The 19,462-nt window shown below is 47.2% G+C and overlaps 2 protein-coding genes across 7 annotated transcripts in view, besides 2 other annotated features; both read left to right on the top strand.

The window, feature by feature from the left end:
• Positions 7,918–14,447, top strand: TAC3 (tachykinin precursor 3). Of its 6 annotated transcripts, NR_135164.2 has the most exons (9): positions 7,918–8,060; positions 8,645–8,763; positions 10,776–10,869; positions 11,059–11,088; positions 11,572–11,625; positions 11,710–11,826; positions 11,995–12,069; positions 12,156–12,313; positions 14,159–14,447. NR_135164.2 is itself a non-coding variant. In NM_013251.4 (7 exons), exons 2-6 carry the CDS (start codon positions 8,650–8,652, stop codon positions 12,066–12,068), a joined length of 366 nt encoding a protein of 121 aa, NP_037383.1. In that variant the 5' UTR covers positions 7,918–8,060; positions 8,645–8,649; the 3' UTR covers position 12,069; positions 14,159–14,447. The 6 variants fall into 6 exon arrangements, 2 of the variants coding, with proteins under 2 accessions (NP_037383.1, NP_001171525.1); NR_135165.2 differs by lacking the exon at positions 11,710–11,826; NR_033654.2 differs by lacking the exon at positions 12,156–12,313.
• Positions 17,703–18,062: a silencer, noted in NCBI's record as "silent region_4568". NCBI's record gives its function as "represses an Ori minimal core promoter by ATAC-STARR-seq in GM12878 lymphoblastoid cells {active_cell/tissue: GM12878}" and the evidence as "EXISTENCE:reporter gene assay evidence [ECO:0000049][PMID:35858748]".
• Positions 17,901–19,462, top strand: part of ZBTB39 (zinc finger and BTB domain containing 39) — a 7,711-nt gene continuing 6,149 nt past the window's right edge. The window contains exon 1 of the mRNA NM_014830.3: positions 17,901–18,042. The gene's annotated coding sequence lies outside the window, so the exon portion shown is untranslated. The remainder of the gene's footprint in view (positions 18,043–19,462) is intronic.
• Positions 18,083–18,232: a silencer, noted in NCBI's record as "silent region_4567". NCBI's record gives its function as "represses an Ori minimal core promoter by ATAC-STARR-seq in GM12878 lymphoblastoid cells {active_cell/tissue: GM12878}" and the evidence as "EXISTENCE:reporter gene assay evidence [ECO:0000049][PMID:35858748]".

The raw sequence follows: 19,462 nt of genomic DNA, 5'->3' as shown, positions 1-19,462 counted from the left end.
AACTCAAAATGTAGAAGAGTAGAAGGTCCCAAATCTTCAAGTCTCTTGGAGAGGGGGGCCACCCATTCCGTCTGGGACAGTTAACTGTTCCCTCACAGGTCAAAGTTTATGCCAGTGCAGTAAAAAGAGTGGGAGACCTGGGGTGAGACAAACCTGGATTTGAGGCTGTTCTTCACTGATTAGTAGCCATATGTACTGGAGCAAGTGACTGAACCTTCTGAGCCTGTTTTCTCATCTGGAAAATCAGAATATTTCCTACTTACATGGTCATGGTGATGAAAACCAGATGGACTGCTCCATGCCAAAGCACCCTGCAAACATTCAAACCCTGCACCCATTACAAATACTGGGCTGACGGATGGCTCTGGCTTTGCTTTTGCATCTCCGCTGTCTCATTCAGCAGCAGCATCTGGCTCTGGCTCTCGGCTCTGATCCTGGTTCTGACTCTCCCCTGGAGCTCTCTCCCTTGGGTGAGAAATAAGCAGATAATCTCCCTCATCTGTGTGTGGTGTGAACAAGAGGCTTGAAAGGTCAGAGAAGAAGATGCCTGAACTGCAGGGAGACAGATTAGAGTGGGGAAAATGTAACTCTGAGGAAAAAGGGAAGCAATTAAGAGATCAAGGCCAGGGGCAGTGGCTCATGCCTGTAATCCCAACACTTTGGGAGGCTGAGGCGGGCAGACCATGAGGTCAGGAGTTCGAGACCAGTCTGGCCAACATAGTGAAACCCCGTCTCTACTAAAAATACAAAAAAATTAGCCAGGTATGGTGGTGTGCACCTGTAATCCCAGCTACTTGGGAGGCTGAGGCAGAAGAATTGCATGAACCCGGGAGGCAGAGGTTGCGGTGAGCCGAGATTGAACCATTGCACTCCAACCTGGGCAACAGTGTGAGACTCTGTCTCCAAAAAAAAAAAAAAAAAAAAAAATCAAGGCCGGGGAGGGGGCAGGGGTGGCACAGCTATCGAGTTCTGTTCATCCTCTGTGAGATTACATCAGGAGGTGTAAAAGAACTCTAGAAGAATGAAGCTAAGTCCAGCTGATTCAGGGTTCAAGAAGGATTGAGGTGGGAGAGGCATCATGACCACTGGTGAGGAGTGGAGGAAGGCCGACACTGGAGCTTTCTTTGCCCAAGCAGAGGAGGGGTGTGACACTCTTGAGGACCAATGTAATGGCGCAGCTCCCTCTGGGAGGGGGAAAGGAGAGGACTGGAGGGGATGCTAAACTGACCTTCTAACCTTCAGGGGCCTGAGTCTGGTTGTCCTGGGTGGGGAGGGGCGCCTGCCTGAAACTGTTTTAGCCCAGAAGTCAGGCCTGAAGGTTAAAGGGCAAGGAGCTGGTGGATGAACAAGGTGGGGAAAGAGGCCCAGGGTCCACATCTACTGAGCTGGACTCAGGCATGGGAATTGGTGTTGTGAGGGCCAAGACACTTGGCCTCCTAAAAGTTTGCTGAAAATCACTGACATGAGAGTAATTGATTTATAGGAGAAAAGGTAGATAAATTTATTTAATATGTATATATGAGCACCTTTAGAATGAAGACCCAAAGATATAGGGGAAATTGCCAGTTATTTATTTATTTTTTTTGGAGATGGAGTCTCACTGTGTCTGCCAGGCTAGAGTGCAGTGGCATGATCTCGGCTCACTGCAACCTCCGCCTGCTGGGTTCAAGCAATTCTCCTGCCTCATCCTCCTGAGCAGCTGTGACTACAGGCACGCACCACCATGCCCGGCTAATTTTTTGTATTTTTTAGTAGAGACAGGGTTTCACCATGCTGGCCAGGCTGGTCTGGAACTCCTGACCTTGTGATCCGCCCGCCTTGGCCTCCCAGAGTGCTGGGATTATAGGCATGAGCCACCGCCCCCAGCCTGAAATCGCCAATTTTATGTTTATGTTTTACAAAGTATGGACAGCTGTGTAGAAATATGACTGGACAGAAGGGCATGCTCTAATGTTAACAGACTGAGTGGGGAAACCCAGGAAGGCCTGTTGAGATTCCTCCTGGCCTCTCTCATTCCTTCCTTCTGGGTATGGGGCAGGACCCTCTCTGGAATGGGGAGATCTTAGGACCTAAGTTAAATAAGGTAGGTCAGATAATTTTTTATGGCCAGTTTTTACATACAGTAATTTTAGGTTTTATGGCTGGCTTTGGGGAAAAGAGGTCCTGGTTTTTATAGCTGGCCTTGGGGGAGAATGGGACCCAGCAACAGGAGGACAGGAGAGGGTCAGAGAAAAACTTCTGCTTCTGAGGCTGCTACTGAGGCCTTCATTTTAGGGTATTGTCTTCTGAGCCCCAGCATTCCTCGGTGTGAAAAATTTTAAAGAAATTTTATAGTCCAGAAATTGAGTTGGTGAATTGTCTTATAAGCCATGGAACTAGTCTCTTAGTCCTGAGAATAGGCCAGTCTAGTTAAATAGTTATTAGTTGTGTCTAATTTTAGGCAGTGTGTTGCAGATGGGCTTCCACCAAAGCCAGGCCTCTATATGATATGAGTAATCAGTTATTTAGTAAGAGGCATTTTTGTCTCAAAAAATAAATAAATAAAAATATATGAATAAATGAATGTATGTTTCTTATCAGACTACGTCTGTTCTATCATTAATTCCAGAAGGGAGGAGGGTCTGGTTCCCCCTTCCCATCATGGCCTGACCTAGTTTTCAGGTTAATTTTAGAACACCCTTGGCTGTGAGGAGTGGTCCATTCGGATGGTTAGGGAGCTTTAGGATTTTACTTTTGGTTTACAAAGTAATGTGAATTAAACAGACATTTGAGTTAAAGTTTTTATTTTTTAATAAAATATTTGATTTAAGCATTTTTTTAACTGAATTAATTAGAGCTCTTTTATATATTTTGATAATGGAACATTACATACACAGGCACATATAAATATATAGACACATAAACAGAAGTAGAGCTTATAGATTTATACTTTTTTTTTTTTTTTTTTTTTTAATGAGACAGGTTCTCCTTCTGTCATCTAGGCTGGAGTGCAGTGGTGCCATCACAGCTCACTGCAGCCTTGACCTCCAAGGCTCAAGCAATCCTTCTACCTGACTGGCTAGCTGGGACTACAGGCGCGTGCCACCATGCCTGGCTAATTCGTGTATTTTTTGTAGATATGGGGAGTTTTACCATCTTGCCCAGGCTGGTCTTGAACTCCTGGGCTCAAGAAATTTTCCTAACTTGACCTCCCAAAGTGTTGGAATTACAGGCATGAGGCACTACGCCAGACCAGATTTTTTATTTGTCAGTTTCTAGGTAGTTTTCCCCAACTTCAGACTATCAATTTTTAAATTATCTGTTTTATGTCTTAATTATTAACTAGGCAACTCTAAACTTGTATCTCTAAGACATGACTTTTAGATGAAATAAGGTAGAAAATGTATATTTCAAAGGCATAGAATTTAGATCTAAATAAAGGTAAAGTTATCTAAATTTTAAGCCATTGTCTTTTCTATTCTAAAAGGTTTTGGAGGTTTGGGTGTAGAGAGGGAGATGCCTTTACAAATGGAATTTTTGTTGTTGTTTTTGTTTTGAGACGGAGTCTTGCTCTGTCACCCAGAGTCTCGCTCTGTCGCCCAGGCTGGAGTGCAGTGGCACGATCTCCGCTCACTGCAACCTCTGCCTCCCGGCTTCAAGTGATTCTCCCACCTCAACCTCCTGAGTAGTGGGGATTACAGCTGTGTGCCACCACGCCCAGCTAATTTTTGTATTTTTAGTAGAGACCGAGTTTCACCATGCTGGCCAGGCTGATCTCGAACTCCCAACCTCAGGTGATCCGCTCGCCTTGGCCTCCCAAAGTGCTGGGATAACAGGCATGAGCCACTGCACCTGGCCTTTTCTGAGTTTTTTAAGGAGTCTGAGTCATTAGAAGTCTTTTCTAGATTTTTTAAAAATGTGGTATTGAAGATGGCAAAGAGGAAGGAGGAATAGGGTGGAGTAAAAGTAAATGGGAGGATAGTTTTTAAGAAAGGAAGTGAATAGAGACATCAAACACATTTTAAAAAAAAGATTTTAGTCTACTGAACAAAATTTTTTAAAATAGGATTTAAAGAGAAAACACAGAAGGCTTTAAAAATATACACATAGCTTGAATATTAGCTTTTAATTAAGCTGACTTCTAACCATGGAGCTCTTTAACAAAAATTCTTTTAAATTTGTCTCTCTCCTCCTTTAAAACTTTTTGTAGAGATGGGGTTTCGCCCTGTTACCCAGGCTGGTCTCAAGTCCGGGCAACTTCTGGGCTAAAGTGATCTGCCTGTCTCGGCCTCCCAAGTGATAGGATTACAGGTGTGAGCCACTGCGACTCACCTTAAATCTCTTGTTACCAGATTTTAGTTGGGACAAATGCTGATATTTTAAAAGTCACATAAATATTAAGCCGAAAAGGACTGATTTCTGATTAGGAAGGAAACCCTAAGCCACGGTGGGAATTTTAATTATTAAACTGTAAAATGGAGCAGCCTCCATTGTTAATTTTGTATGGAATCCAAAGTGGCAGTTTGAGTGTAATTGTTTTAGGTCAGGTTTTTGTGCTTTAATTTAATCAAGACAATTGTTAAGGATAGCTGTGACACTATTATGTGTCCTTTTAATTTGATCTATCAATTCTTTAGAACAAGTAATTTTTTTAAATTTAGGAATTTTAGTCTAAAGGATTTATCTTTTGGCCATTGACAATTAGAATTTTTAATGGGGTATTTAATTCCAATAGCAACTTAATCCAAAGTTTTCTTTATGTCAAAGAAAACAGAAGCCCAGGAGGGATGAGACCTTGTAAGACAAAACTCCCCTAGGAGCTTGGAATGTTTGAAAATACATGTGTTGGGCTCCCAATCTTTTCATACTGGCTGTGATGTTACCTGAAAAATCACATCCTTTGGATGGTGGAGACCAAGCGGGAATATCCCCATCTAGTCACGTCATGCTCTCAAGGACATGAGACAAGAGGGAAACCTCTCACCCTGTTTTTATTTCAGGGACTGGCAGCAAAGTTTGTCATAACAGAAGTCAGCATAACCAGAACCACGAAACTGACCAGTTTGCAGGGCCAGTTCAAACAGTGGGTTGCAGGCCTGTTCTACCCTAGGGTACCCCTCCTTATGACAGAACACCAAAAGACAAGACAAAAACGAAGGAAAACGGCAACAACAAAAAAGCTATTTCTGAAAGGAAAATGGCAACAACAACAACAAAAGCTATTTCTGAAGGGAATGGGGTCAAACTATGAATACTTATACCACAAAGTACTAAAAAATATATCAGACTCACTATACCAAGGTTAGTCACACACAAAACCTGTTCTCTCATTAATCTTACATTTGGAAAGGAAAAGGGAAACAATGATTTTTACTGTCCACTCATCCAGAGTCCACAGAGAGAGGAAAACTGGAAAACTGGGAGTCTGGCAGGAAATTCTCACTCCTCTGCTGGCTTGCCAGGTTCCTGTATTTCCTTCTCTGTGGCTTCCAGAAAAGCACAATAGCTTTGGTGGTCTTATTTGTGATGCCAAACTGTGGTCTTGGCCCCCTAAAGTTTCAGTGAAAATCACTGACATGAAGCAGATTAATAGGGAAAAAGGCATACAAATTTATTAAATACGAATGGGAGCCTTTAGAATGAAGCCTTGAAGCTATAGGGGAAATTGTCTATTTTTATGTTTAGGTTTAACAAAGTATGGACAGCTGTGTAGAAATATGACTGGACAGAAAGGGCACGATCTAATGTTAACAGACTGAGTGGGGAAACCCAGCAAGGCCTGTCTGTTGAGATTCCTCCTAGCCTCTCTCATTCCTTCCTTCTGGTGTGGGGCAGGACCCTCTCTGGAATGGAGGTTTTATGACCTAAGTCAAATAACGTAGGTCAGATTTTTTTTTTTTTTTTTTTTTTTTTTTTTGAGCTGGAGTCTCTCTGTCAACAGGCTGGAGTGCAGTGGCGTGACCTTGGCTCACTGAAACCTCCGCCCCCTGGGTTCAAGCCATTCTCCTGCCTTAGCCTCCTGAGTAGCTGGGATTACAGGGGTGTGCCACCACGCCCAGCTAATTTTTGTATTTTTAGTACAGACAGGGTTTCACCTTGTTGGTCAGGCTGGTCTCAAATTCCTGACCTTGTGATCCACCTGCCTCGGCCTCCCAAAGTGCTAGGATTACAGGCGTGAGCCACTGTGCCCGGCCTTTTTTTTTTTTTTTTTTTTTTAGGAAGTTGTATTTTGGGCTTTTTAACTAGCTTGTTTTTTAATTAGATTATTGCCTTTAGGGTGGAGCCCTTTAATAAAAAGGGGGAAGAAAACATAGGTTTTAGGGCCTCATATTTAAATGGGTAAAGCAGGCATAGCTGGAAGGCAGAATACAGAACCCCCCTAATCAAGGATCTCATTTTTATATTGAATCCTAGGCCCCCCAAAAGAGGGAAATGTCATGGGACGAGATGTGTGGCATTTTTATCGAGTGCCCCACTGTAAAGATGCTCCCCCAAGGCTGGCAGGCAGCCCAGTGCCGATTAGCCCACTCTGTGCTTAGTCTTTTTTTTTTTTTTTTTTTTGAGGTGGAGTCTTGCTCTGTTGCCCAGGCTGGAGTGCAATGGCGTGATCTCGGCTCAATGCAATCTCTGTCTCGTGGGTTCAAGCGATTCTCCTGCCTCAGCCTCCCAAGTAGCTGAGATTACAGGCACCAGCCACTATGCTCAGCTAATTTTTTGTATTTTTAGTAGAGATGGGGTTTCAACATGTTGGCCAGGCTGGTCTCGAACTTCTGACCCCAAGTGATCCGCCCGCCTCGGCCTCCCAAAGTGCTGGGATTACAGGCGTGAGCCACCATGCCTGGCGTGCTTAGCCTATTTTTAATGGGAGTTTCATCCTCAATGGTGAGTGCTTTCATTGTCTTTAGGTGCCCCAGACCATGTTTTTAAAAATTTAAATGCACGAAGAAATAAGTAGCCCTGTATAGTAGTAATACTTTGTTGTGAATAACTGTCATAAGTCATCTCTAAAACTGTATTTTTTATCTAGTTATTATATATGACTAGCTATATGTCTAGTTTTTTAAATAATACAAAGTAATTTATTTTTGGCATCCTCAAAAACCAAAGAGATTAGGTAATGTAGTGTAGAAGAGAGCAGAGCTTTAGACCTGAGAAGAATCTGCCCATGACTCGTGAAACTCCACAACGAAAGTAGGAGACCCCAAAAAAGGGGTGAGTGTCATCTTTTCTGAATTTTTTTTTTTTTTTAGATGGAGTCTTGCTCTGCCACCAGGCTGGAGTGCAGTGGTGCAATCTCGGCTCAGCCTCCCGAGTAGCTAGGATTACAGGCACGCGCCACCATGACCAGCTAATTTTTGTATTTTTAGTAGAGACAGCGTTTCACCATGTTGGCCAGGATGGTCTCGATCTCTTGACCTCGTGATCCGCCCGCCTCGGCCTCCCAAAGTGCTGGGATTACAAGCGTGAGCCACTGCACTCGGCCGGTCAGATAATTTTTTTGGCCAGTTTTTACATAGAGTAATTTTAGGTTTTATGGCTGGCTTTGGGGCAAAGGGGTTCTGGTTTTTATAGCTGGTCTTGGGGGAGAATGGAACCGAGTGACAAGAGGACAAGAGAGGGTCAGAGAAAAACTTCTGCTTCTGAGGCGGCTATTGAGGCCTTCATTTTGGAGTATTGTCCTCTAAGCCCCAGCAGTGTCAAACTGTACACAAACCATACACAGCAGCCAGCTCGGGTGCTGTTAGGAAATGGTCTCACTGCTGGGTCTGTGGGGTATGTGTGTGTCTGGGTGTGTGGCTACTGTCTGCATCCTCCTCCCCCCTACAGCCTCCCCGCCTCCCCTCCAGCCACCCTGGGATTGGTGACTCTCAGCCCCTCCCCTCAGCTCCCCTAGACCCTCCCAGAGCCTTTATCAGGGAGCTGGGACTGAGTGACTGCAGCCTTCCTAGATCCCCTCCACTCGGTTTCTCTCTTTGCAGGAGCACCGGCAGCACCAGTGTGTGAGGGGAGCAGGCAGCGGTCCTAGCCAGTTCCTTGATCCTGCCAGACCACCCAGCCCCCGGCACAGAGCTGCTCCACAGGTAGGCAAGTGGGAGAATGCTGGATGGACCAGAGCTGGCACCAGGGGACAGGAGCCAGCGTCAGGAGGGAATAAAGCAGATGGCAGCCTCTGATAGGGGAGCAGGGGACTGGGAAGGTGAGCACAAAGCACCTGTAGGGCCGAGAGCTGGTTGGTGTTTGGAGCCTGTGGCTACAGACTCATTCTTTCATACCAGAAAGTTTTTGCCTAAGTCTTGGGATTATCTAGTACTGGAAAATAGCATCCAGGATCCCTCCTCCAGCTGACTGAGGAAACAGACCAGTCCATGTCCTACAAATCTATCATCTTTCTTGGGAGCTAGAGTCCTCCTGGCACCACTATAGCATTGCACATCTCCTGGGGAGATATCTGATGGGGTAGCAGGGAAACTAAGCCCAAGGGCTGTACCCCCTTCTCAGAAATACTTTCCACCCTCTCTCCAGACCAGGGCTTGGACAGTGGAGTTGGGGGCTGGGGAAGCAGGGTCAAGCCAAGCTGCTGGTAATGAATGTCTCTTGTGTCTTCACCCATGCTGTATCTTCCTCTTCTCTCCTTTACCTGAGTCCTGTCCCTTTGCTCTCCCAGGCACCATGAGGATCATGCTGCTATTCACAGCCATCCTGGCCTTCAGCCTAGCTCAGAGCTTTGGGGCTGTCTGTAAGGAGCCACAGGAGGAGGTGGTTCCTGGCGGGGGCCGCAGCAAGGTAAGTCTCCCCTGGCAGAGTACTGGGGACATCACGGGAACTTGGGACTCTGCCTGTCTGGACAGCTGTAGTGAGGAAACTGGGGTGGGGGGGTTGTCCGTCAGAGGGCATTTTGCCTCCCTTTGGATTTCTTTGTTTCTCTGGTCCTTTCATGTTCCCACTGTCTCCAGGTGTGTTTGTGTCTCTGTATCTCTGCATGTCTTTGACACCTTGTACATAAAAGGTGCCCTACAAATATGTTGTTTGGTGGGTTGATTGATGGGAGACTTGGTGATTGGATGGTACTGTGAGGGGTGAGCTAGGGTGGTCTAAGGCTCTCTATAGTCTACCTCAGGTCCCTTTGCAAGGGACAGATCTCTTCTATTTCCTGGATGGTATGAAACAGTCAGAATTTCTTTCCCAAATGGTTATTTGTGTGCTATTTTACCTATCAGTTATGTGTATTGTTTTATTTTCAAAATGCAAATAAATTCCCTTATCTTTTGCTCATCCACCCCCAGTAACCTCAGGTGCTTCTAAGATCCCAACCCCTTCCTTCTTCTCTTTTCTCCCTTGCCCGCCTCTATCCTCTGCTTAGTCAGGATAGGAAAACAACAACAGCAAAAAAACCAGATTGAGCCTCGATTTCCACAGTTCCTTTACGAAAAAGAATAGGAATTGTCAGGGTAGGGGTACAGGGGGAGGATAGGGAGGAAGTCTTTTCAAGGTTTTGAAATGACAGCAATTACATCGGTACAAATGCTTTTAAGATGATTGCGGGTGGGACTTATTACAAATTCAATGTGTGAAGTTTAACTGCCTCTTCAGCTCAAATCTGTTCAGCATCTCATTATAGGAGGTGGGCAGAGTATTCAACAATTTGGGAAAAGTGGCTGCCTGAACACCACATGCTGGGCCAAGGGAGTTATCACCAGGGCAGCCTTGCAGGTGGCAGCAGTTGTGCCATATCCAAAAGGCCAGAACCGTTAAAAAAAAAAACACCCAGGGGAGTGCCAAGTATGGGCTGGACACCGTTTGGAGCCACAAAGTTCCAGCCCAGGATAGTTAGAGTATCTGAGTTCTTCTGAGACAAACTTGTTTCAAGACCTTGGCCAATGAGATGTCCCCTCTGCCCCTCTTGGTCAATGAATGAGAGGGATTGCCATCCTACCCCTTCTCCTTGAGAGTCTGTGAGGATGAGGGAAATTGGGGCAGGAAGAGGGTAGTACATAGGTGTGCCTAGGCAACTGGGTTGGTATGTGTGGGGGTGTGTTCTGTGTAAATGCACTTCTGTGTGTGCACAACAGCCGAAGGATGCCTGGGTTCTGGAAAGAGAGGCGCTGCTGAGACTTGAGATTTGAGATGAAAATCTCCAGCCATGATCATTGTTATTGTCTCTCTGCAGCTGCAATTAACTGGCTGTGTGGTGTGTGCCCACCACCCTGCTGTACGCAAGTTGCTAAAAAAAAAAAAAAAATCACAGGGACAATCAAGAGCCCGTGCTGGGCAACAGCTCTAGAACTTGGGATTCAGTTGTGGAGAGAAGAAGACGTGCCTTCTGAGCATGTTGCCTTCCTGGAATTCTAGACCTAGGGCCAAAAGGGAGAGGGAGAGAAAACTAGAGGCGGAAAGCCATGGAGAATAGAGAAAGAGGTGGTGGAAAACAGGGAGAGAAACATCCATGGACATCGTGCAGAGTGGGGGAATCACAGGTGCAGATGTGTGCCTCCAATCTCACCATGCATGTGAATCACCTGGGGGGCTGCTTAAAATGCAGATTCTGTCTCAGGAGGTCTGGGGTAGGAACAAGAGTCTGCATTTCTAACAGGCTCTGTGTAGTGCTGGTGTTGCTGTTGGTCCACAGGTCACTCCTGGAGCACCTACTTCTCGTCCAGTGTGAACCAGAGGAAACTCTGAAAGAAATAGGGTGTCGGATTCAGGATGGGCTCAGGAAGAGGCTGTTTCTTGTGGGAAAAGGATGAGTGGATCCGGGTGGGAGCCTCCTGCCTCACCCCTCTTTGTTTCTTCCCTAGAGGGATCCAGATCTCTACCAGCTGCTCCAGAGACTCTTCAAAAGCCACTCATCTCTGGAGGGATTGCTCAAAGCCCTGAGCCAGGCTAGCACAGGTAGGAGGCGGCCCTAGGGGAGAGGGGAATGAGGGGCAGGATTCTGAAGATAAGAGGCCTGGGAGATCCTTTCAGATGGGAGAGAGATGGGGGATAGCTTAGTGAATCGGTGAGGGTTGTGATCTGAACCCCGCTCTCATCACTTTCCAACTTCACTCCCCATTTAGACATCTGTTCTTGGTTTCACAGATCCTAAGGAATCAACATCTCCCGAGAAACGTAAGTACCCTCTTCTCCCTCCCTATCTCTTGCCACTTGCCCAGAGCTCTGTGGGGCATTGGGCCCAGGGGCCATTTTGTCCAGCCCCTTCTCACCTGGTACAAACAATATGCCAGCTCCCACTGCTCAGCCAACCTTTCCTGAAAGGGAGAGGCCATCCAGAACTAGGAGGAAGCTGGTGTGAGGGGCATGGTGGGCTCTCCCTCTGCTGGCTGGTCCTTGGAAAACAAGGGGATCTCTTCGTGGCCCTGAAAATTCCAAATCAGGCACCTGCTAGAGCAGAAAATTCTTGAAATGTGGAGGAAGGAAAGGTGAGCAGAGAGAGTGGGTTTAGGGGAGGCACTTGCTAACTGTGAGGAGTCATGCTTTGACAAGAAAAAGGAACAGAGACCAGAAACCCAGTCTCAGAAGTGTTGACCCATGTCTGGGGAGATGCTTCACTTTCTCATCATCACTGCTGACAATGTTGGCCCTTTTCTGCAGGTGACATGCATGACTTCTTTGTGGGACTTATGGGCAAGAGGAGCGTCCAGCCAGGTAGGAGTGTGTGGAGGTACAGTGGAAGGGCTTAGGGTACTGGCAGAGTATGACAGAAGTCACGTGCCTCATATTTGTCACCAGAGGGAAAGACAGGACCTTTCTTACCTTCAGTGAGGGTTCCTCGGCCCCTTCATCCCAATCAGCTTGGATCCACAGGAAAGTCTTCCCTGGGAACAGAGGAGCAGAGACCTTTATAAGGTAGTCCTGTTGCAGCTGGGAGGAAGGATAGGGAGACTCTGCTTCCACCCCAGTCTCCCAACTCTGTCTTTGAACACTGCCCGTCATAGCCAGCCCTTTGCTGTTGGATCAGGGTGTAGTTCACATTCAGAAAGATCCCTCTTACTTACACTGTTCGCTTTACCCTAGACTCTCCTACGGATGTGAATCAAGAGAACGTCCCCAGCTTTGGCATCCTCAAGTATCCCCCGAGAGCAGAATAGGGTAAGGATTGTTCATTAGAGAGGGGAGAGGGGACTGGGGAGGGGGCTGTGGGGGTTGCCAGCTGTGCATTTCCTCCCATGCTACAGGTATTAAAGCTCATAGATTTGCCCTGAAATACACTGCCAATGCCCAGCACACTGTCGGCCAAACACAAAGACACTTAGAGGCACGTGTGTTTGTACACATCCCCCGTCTTTCATCTCTTTCCTCTGGATCATGGACGGCAGCTGACTATTGAGCAGGAGTGAGTGTTGGGAGATGAGGAGAGAGGGGCTTCCCCGATGGGCAATTTCTGTTGTTTGGACTTCATTCTTTTGTAATCTATGCAAAAAGATGGAGAAATTATTATCTGATAATTACAAATACCACAACCAATTCACAGGCAAGCATTTGCCTCCCAGGCAGGCTGAGCCTTTCAAATCACTCAGAATCCTGGGTTACGGGGCCCAGAAGGTAGTCATACACAAGGATGATTCAGGAAGAAATGCAAGGAACTCTGAAATCTAATGGGGATTAGCAGGAAACCATATCTGAATCTCTCTTTAGCATAATGAATAAGAACAATGGCCTGAATGTGAATCCTGGATCTGCCACTCTATCTGTATCTTTTTGGCCAAGGTACATATCCTCCTGTGCTTCAGTTTCCTCATCTGAAAAATGAAAGTGATAATAGTATCTCACAGGGTTGTGGTTTTGAGGATTGAGTATAGGTAAAGTGTTCAGAACAGTGCCGGGTGCACAGTGCTGTGTGCCAATTTTATGATAATTGTCCCAGTTTGGGAGGTATGGGGGATGTCCTAATGTTTCCCCTGACTGGCTCTGTCTGGACCCCAGGCCTGAGTGGGCTGACAAATTCCTCACTTGGTATGCGAGTGTAAGAGTCCCCCAGGGAAGTGTCTAGTCAAAACACGAACCTTCCGCCTTGACACTGTCTTCCCACACACAGCAAGAGCAGCTCCACCAATGGCTTTCTTTTCACTAGCTTCCAAAGAATTGGGGTGGAGGGAGTGAAAAGGAGAGGGAGAGAGATTGGGAAGGCTCGTAATCATGGAGAGCCTCCTGCTTTTCTCTCTGTGTCCCTGTTACCCATACTCACTGGTCTCAAGGTGGCACGCCCAAGACCCAAGGAGCTGGTGCTTGATGATGCTGCCTGTGCATGAATTCCTGGGACCAGAGACTGAGTCTGGCCCCCCATTTAGTGTTGGGTGAGAGGGCACAAAGAGCTATAATAACTGTAACTTGCTGATTACATGGTAGTTACTGTATCATTTTGCTCTCATTAGATGGTTATTTCAGTCCTGCCGACGGCCAGATAATTATACGAGCAGCTATATCTGGATGACATACTCTGCTCCAGCGTTATGCACTGGCCATAAAGATAATTACAGTGCAATTTTGCTATAGTATTTTATACAAATGGCAAAAACAAGTGCATTGTGGAAATCTACTTTTAATGCTTGTTTGTGCATCCAGGCTCTTTCAGAGGGACCCATAATTGCAGCTTTCATAATCTTACCATTGAGGGAGCATTCCCAACCTGTTAGGTGTCAGGCAGAATAGGACATAAGGTTTCTGGGAGCTGGCATTTAAAGATTAGATGAGATGGATCAACACAGATCATTGTGTCATCTGATTTCATTCATGTGAAACTGTAAGTAATCCCTGGGCCTGTGCTTCCTCTGGGAGGTTTCTGGGAAGAGGAGGAACTGGATAAGGCAGGGGGAGCATTCATAGTAGGGCACCTTGGGCAGGGCTGTGTGTGTGTCTGGCTCATGGTGGTGCTAGGATGGCATGAACTTGGTTCCTACATCTTTGGTCCACATGGGCCCCACTGGCCATGCACACAGGTGTGTAGAGTAATGTAAATATGGCAGCTGGGAAGGTGCAAGTACCTGCGGCTAGGAGAGTTCCATCCTCAGGCCCAAAGCCTGGAGGGCAGGCTGAGGGTCAAGACTTGTTCTTTCCTCTCTCACAGACGCCTCTCCCCTTCTCTCCTGCTGCCACAGCAGGTTTTCAGTGGGACTTTTTTACAGGATATAAGATGTGATTTCAGTGTTTTTTTTTGTTTTGTTTTGTTTTTTGTCCTCAGTACTCCACTTCCGGACTCCTGGACTGCATTAGGAAGACCTCTTTCCCTGTCCCAATCCCCAGGTGCGCACGCTCCTGTTACCCTTTCTCTTCCCTGTTCTTGTAACATTCTTGTGCTTTGACTCCTTCTCCATCTTTTCTACCTGACCCTGGTGTGGAAACTGCATAGTGAATATCCCCAACCCCAATGGGCATTGACTGTAGAATACCCTAGAGTTCCTGTAGTGTCCTACATTAAAAATATAATGTCTCTCTCTATTCCTCAACAATAAAGGATTTTTGCATATGAATGATGTGGTGTGTGTGTTTACTTGTTTGGTTGGTGGGTTTTTCTGTTCCTTGACTCCTCCAGCTACATGGTAAATACACACATACTTATGATACACACACTTCATATTTAAATGTAAATAACTTTACATATCTTTTTGTATATATCTATTTCCTGAACAGTGCCTTACACAGTGCTTTGCACGATGAGTATCAGATTTATTTAGTGATTAAAATAAATACACGAATTTGGAAGATGGTTTCTAACACACAAAGATTTTTACAGACCAGTTTTAGATAAAGAAAAAACAGGCCGGGCCCGGTGGCTCACGCCTGTAATCCCAGCACTTTGGGAGGCCGAGGCGGGTGGATCACGAGGTCAGGAGGTCGAGACCAGCCTGACCAACATGGTGAAACCCCTTCTCTACTAAAAATACAAAAATTAGCCAGGCATGGTGGCGCATGCCTGTAATTCCAGCTACTTGGGAGGCTGAGGCAGGAGAATCGTTTGAACCCAGGAGGCAGGGGTTGCAGTGAGCCGAGATCACGCCACTGCACTCCAGCCTGGGCAACAAGAGCAAAAAACTCCGTCTCAAAACAAAACAAACAAACAAAAAAAACAATAAAAAAAGAAAAAGAAAAAGAAAAAAAATATTCAGAATGACTTGTATTACTAGGATGGGTCTGGGAGATATTCATTCCTGAATCTGACCCTACTTAATTAGAGAAGGAGGTGGGGATCAAGGCTGTCCGGAGACCCAGCCACAGAGGAGGACAAATCTATGACCCTATACAATTTTTTTGTCTCCAAATGCTGAGCCTGGGTTCTGTGACAGATCCTGGGGATGAAATGATGACTCATACACAGAGTTTACAGTTTAGCAGGGCTGTGGACAAGCAAACAGAACTTGATCCAGCTAGGATGGGATGTGGACAGGGAAGTTACTACCGAGGCCAAGAAAGAGAGGAGCAGATATCTTCACCGTTAACTGGCTGCCTTAGTTATTATAAAGGGAAAACATTTATCTCCCACTCCTCTCTAAAGTGCCTGTTACCAGCTCCTGCAGCTCTGACTTAACAGTCCCCAGAATGTGTAAGGCACTTACATGTGGTATGCATGGGTATGGATGTCTTTTACTAATCTATGATGTCAACTATCACCCGCCATCCTAAGGGGGGTTCTGTACCCTAATGGAACAGCCAGTGAAATCCTCAGGCTCCTTATCTTAGCGTGGTACAGGGGCCTTTGTTATGCCCCTGAATTGCACTGATAAAACATCAACACATAGATTTCCCAAGGCAGTGTAAGGACAGGGCCACAGAGCCAGAGGCCACTTCCTGCAGTCCTTTCATTCTAGTGAAAATTCTATCTTCCTACAGCCTGACTTGGGGCCACTTTGGAATGACAGCTGTATAGTGGGGGGCGGGGAAAGGAGGGAATACTCACCCTAGTATTACTTATGTCAGCTTTATAGCCAGAGGTCAAAGAATGCCCCCACCCCAGAGCCTAGACCCTTTTTCCAGTGAGTCATCTCTTTGACTTTTCAAAATTATCTATCTATAGGGCTTAAAACTGGGGACACTTTTGCAGAGTCTAGGGGCTTTCTCTGGGTCATGAAAGCTACAAGAGTTGGTTCTGCTCAGACTTGGTGGGAGTTAGGCTTATAGGCTGAGATGAGACAATTGCTTTGCAAGTAGGAACATTAAGTGCAGAAAGATTGCTCTCTAGTGGGACTGACAAAAATTGCAGTACTGGGGACTCCAGAAAAAAATGAAGACAAATGTTAAGTTAGATTCCTGTGTTTGTACTTGAAGAATGTGTGAAGGGATCCTGACCCTCCCTTTCCTGTTGTAAAACAGTTGATGCCTAAAGAGATCTGGTCCACAAGACCTTGACTAAATTCCTGGCCCTTTCTTCTCCATTTAACTTTGTATATGTTTGTTATTGTGACTATATGGTGATTTACTTTAAAAAGACTTCAGTATAAGTGGTATATACTTTCACCTGCGTCTTTTGGATGATTTGTTTTCATGTGAAGTTTATTGGGGTCAACCCTCCAGAGATGGCTGGGGCAGTTGGTTAGAAAGACTGTATAGGCCCAGGCCCTTGCAAGCCCAGCAGCCCTCTGTCTCCAGAGTCATGCTGGAGGTCTGGACCTGCTGGCTGTGTGATATTCCACTTTAGGGAGACTCAGTCACCTTGCACAACTGTGAGAGCTGGGCCTGCCACTGAAACATTGTGTCAACCTCTAAGTGACCCTTTCACTAGATGGTAAAGTGAGATGCCTCATCCCCAAACTATAAGAACAGTTCTATGGCTGTTTTTGTATCTCCTGGCTAACAAATGTTACATGTTTGGCAGCATTTGGTATAGTGCTTGCTTTCAGTATAGTCTGCCACCAGTTAATGAGGTTGTGGAAAGGAGGACACACAATCTCCCAAATTCATCAAGAGAATGGACAATTGCTGAATGGCCAAACTGGCTTAGATCTGTTGGCAACATTCAGTGTGTCCCTTCCTTTCCACTTATCCATCAAGGAATTACTGAATCCTACCATGCGCCTGTCCTGGGAGTTTGTCCTTGGCTGCAAGCTATTTTCAGGCAGTGACTGGGATGGGATGGGAGAGAGGATGAAACTGAAGGGTCTTGGAGCCTAAGAGCTTCCTCTGTACTGAGGGAGGGAGGGCGACATGACGAAGACTTCTAATGTCTTTGGTGGTGGTGGGTGGGGCAGGCAGTGTAGGTGGTTTTCGTTTGATGACAATTCTTGGGCAGAAGCATTTGAAAAGATGATTTGGGAGAAGGGTGGGGAGGAAGAGTGATCGAGTTCTACACAGAGTTGGGGAGGGCAGGCTTCAGGAAGCAGGCCTGGGGTGCCAAAGTACAGTGAGATCCGGTGACTTTCTTCATTTGGCCACCTAGATGGAAGGAGGGACAGCAGTGGATTATCAGAAGGGTCCAGTAGTAGCGGTCTAGCCCTCAAGTGCTCCTTCATTCATTCAAGCAGGCTTAATGTATTAAGCACTTATTGTGCCAGGAAGTGTGGTAAGGGTCAGTGTGGACCTGCGGCCGTGTGCAAAGCCACAGATCCCTGCCTTCAGGAAGCCCACAGCCTAGTGGAGGAGATATATAGTAATCAAACAATCTTACAACATTTTGTAAAATGCCCATAGTAGATGTTCTGAGGAGAAGCTTTTGGAACTGTGAGCGTAGAACAGGGGAGGTGAAGAGAGTTTGGATAGGGTTTTTCACTCTTCAGGCACCAAGTCCCGCGCACAGTGGATGGGCGCTTAGAAAAAGCCAGCCTGGGGACTTGGAAGCCCCTGCACCCCTCGCGCAGGTCCTGGACCCGGCCCCGCCGTGGGGGGGCGCTGCCTCCTCCCGGGCGGCGGGGGGCGCTGCGGCCGGGCGGCGGGGGGCGCTGCCTCCTCCGGGACGGCGGGGGGCGCTGCGGGCCGGGCGGCGGGGGCGGCCCGGGCCGTCGCGGCGAGCCGCGCGGCGGATGGAGAGTCTGGCCGCGGCCGGCGGCGCCGCCTCCTCGTCGGGCCGGGCACGGCGGGCCGGGGCCTTTGTGTGAAGCGGCGGCGGCGATGGTGCTCGGGGCGCCGCAGAGCCGGGTAAGCGCGGCCAGGCCGAGGGCTGCCCCTGGCCGAAGCCCGACCTTCGGCCCGGCATTTATCTCGCTCTTGCTGGGGTCCCTCTTGCCCGCTCCCTTCGGCCGGACCCATCCTCCCCGCCCGCGCGCCGACCCCGGCCGGCCCCGCCGCCCCTCGCTTGGCCCCTTATTCAGCCCCATGCCCCCAACAGGCTCACCCGGGTGAGCCCCGCGCTGTTTGTGGAGGGACTGAGGCGCTCGTTGCCTCCAGAGGGAGCGCCCCAGCCGATGCAGCGCCCTTCCCTCCCAGATGCGACTCCGGAGGGGAGACCGCGGCGCCCGGGGATTGTTGGGGTGTCCTTGGAAGTTCCCAGCTTCCCCCTCTCCCACCCTCTCCTCTGGCTGCCCAGTGCTCCGACCCGCCCATCGTTCAGGGGTGGCCACCAGGGCCCGGGAGATGCTTGGCCGGTACCCCACAATACTTAGACGCTTCCTGGGCCCCAGAAAAAGTTGGGAGTTGTTAGAATCTGGAGAGATGGAGAAAGGGGCTGTGTTGGGCAGAGTTGTGAGACTGAACAGGGATGCAAGTAGCTCTTCTTCCTTAGTCGTGCAGGAGTCAGAAAGGGCAGAAAGTGGTAGTGAACAAGCCTCTAGGAGTCTTACCTGTATAATTAGAAGTCTTTCTTGCGGCATCAAGTAAATCTGTTAGTGCAGGGACAACAAAATATAAACCCCGAAAAGGGTGGCGAAAAAGAATACAACATATTAAAGTAATATTAAATACTACCACAGTTGTGTTCTACTTTTCTTACTGTGCATTCTGAGTGTTTTAACTTCACAGAATACAGGGACTGTGATAAAGCAATATCTGGAGGGGCTCTGGGTTATCGAAAGGCCAGAGAGCGGGTATGTAGTATAGGCAGAGAGAGATGGGGATTCAAGAACGTGAGATTTATTTGGAGATTATTGAGAGGTTGAAGACACAGCAATGACAAAGCTAAAAAACGGAACCACCTTATATGTTCCTCAGTAGCTAGTGGAGCTTTGATAGTTGTGTTCAAGCATGTGCATGGTATTTGGCATCATGAGGGAAAAGAATATGCTCAATGAATTAGGAAAGCTTGTATTTGGGAGGAAATTAATAGGAGAAAAATTTGATCCAGTGGCTCTGGTAATGAAGTATAAGATTGTGTCCAAGGGAATGCCTCTGGTTCGTCTCTAGGCACCAGCTTAAAACCAAGCTATCAGATTGTCATCAGTCGTTTTGGTTTTTGTCATAACTCTTTGAGTATATACAGGGGGAGATGTCATTGCCTTGTCATAATGGAGGAACTCTCCATGCCAGTTTACTCCTGATCCCTACCTGGGGCTTGGAAGCATTCAGAGTGATGGTATTTTCTCCTGCATAGCCCCTCTTTTGCACGGATGTGTTTGGCCATCCA

This window comes from Homo sapiens, chromosome 12, assembly GCF_000001405.40.
Source record: "Homo sapiens chromosome 12, GRCh38.p14 Primary Assembly".
Classification (NCBI taxonomy): domain Eukaryota; kingdom Metazoa; phylum Chordata; class Mammalia; order Primates; family Hominidae; genus Homo; species Homo sapiens.
This window is presented reverse-complemented; position numbering and strand designations above follow the sequence as displayed.

Bases quoted from the DNA above. Each gene is read 5' to 3' on its own strand.
- TAC3 (NM_013251.4), top strand. From the start codon at position 8,650: ATGAGGATCATGCTGCTATTCACAGCCATCCTGGCCTTCAGCCTAGCT. The intron at 8,764-10,775 runs GTAAGTCTCCCC...TTTCTTCCCTAG, and splicing joins CTGGCGGGGGCCGCAGCAAG to AGGGATCCAGATCTCTACCA. The intron at 11,626-11,994 runs GTAGGAGTGTGT...GCTTTACCCTAG, and splicing joins CAAGAGGAGCGTCCAGCCAG to ACTCTCCTACGGATGTGAAT.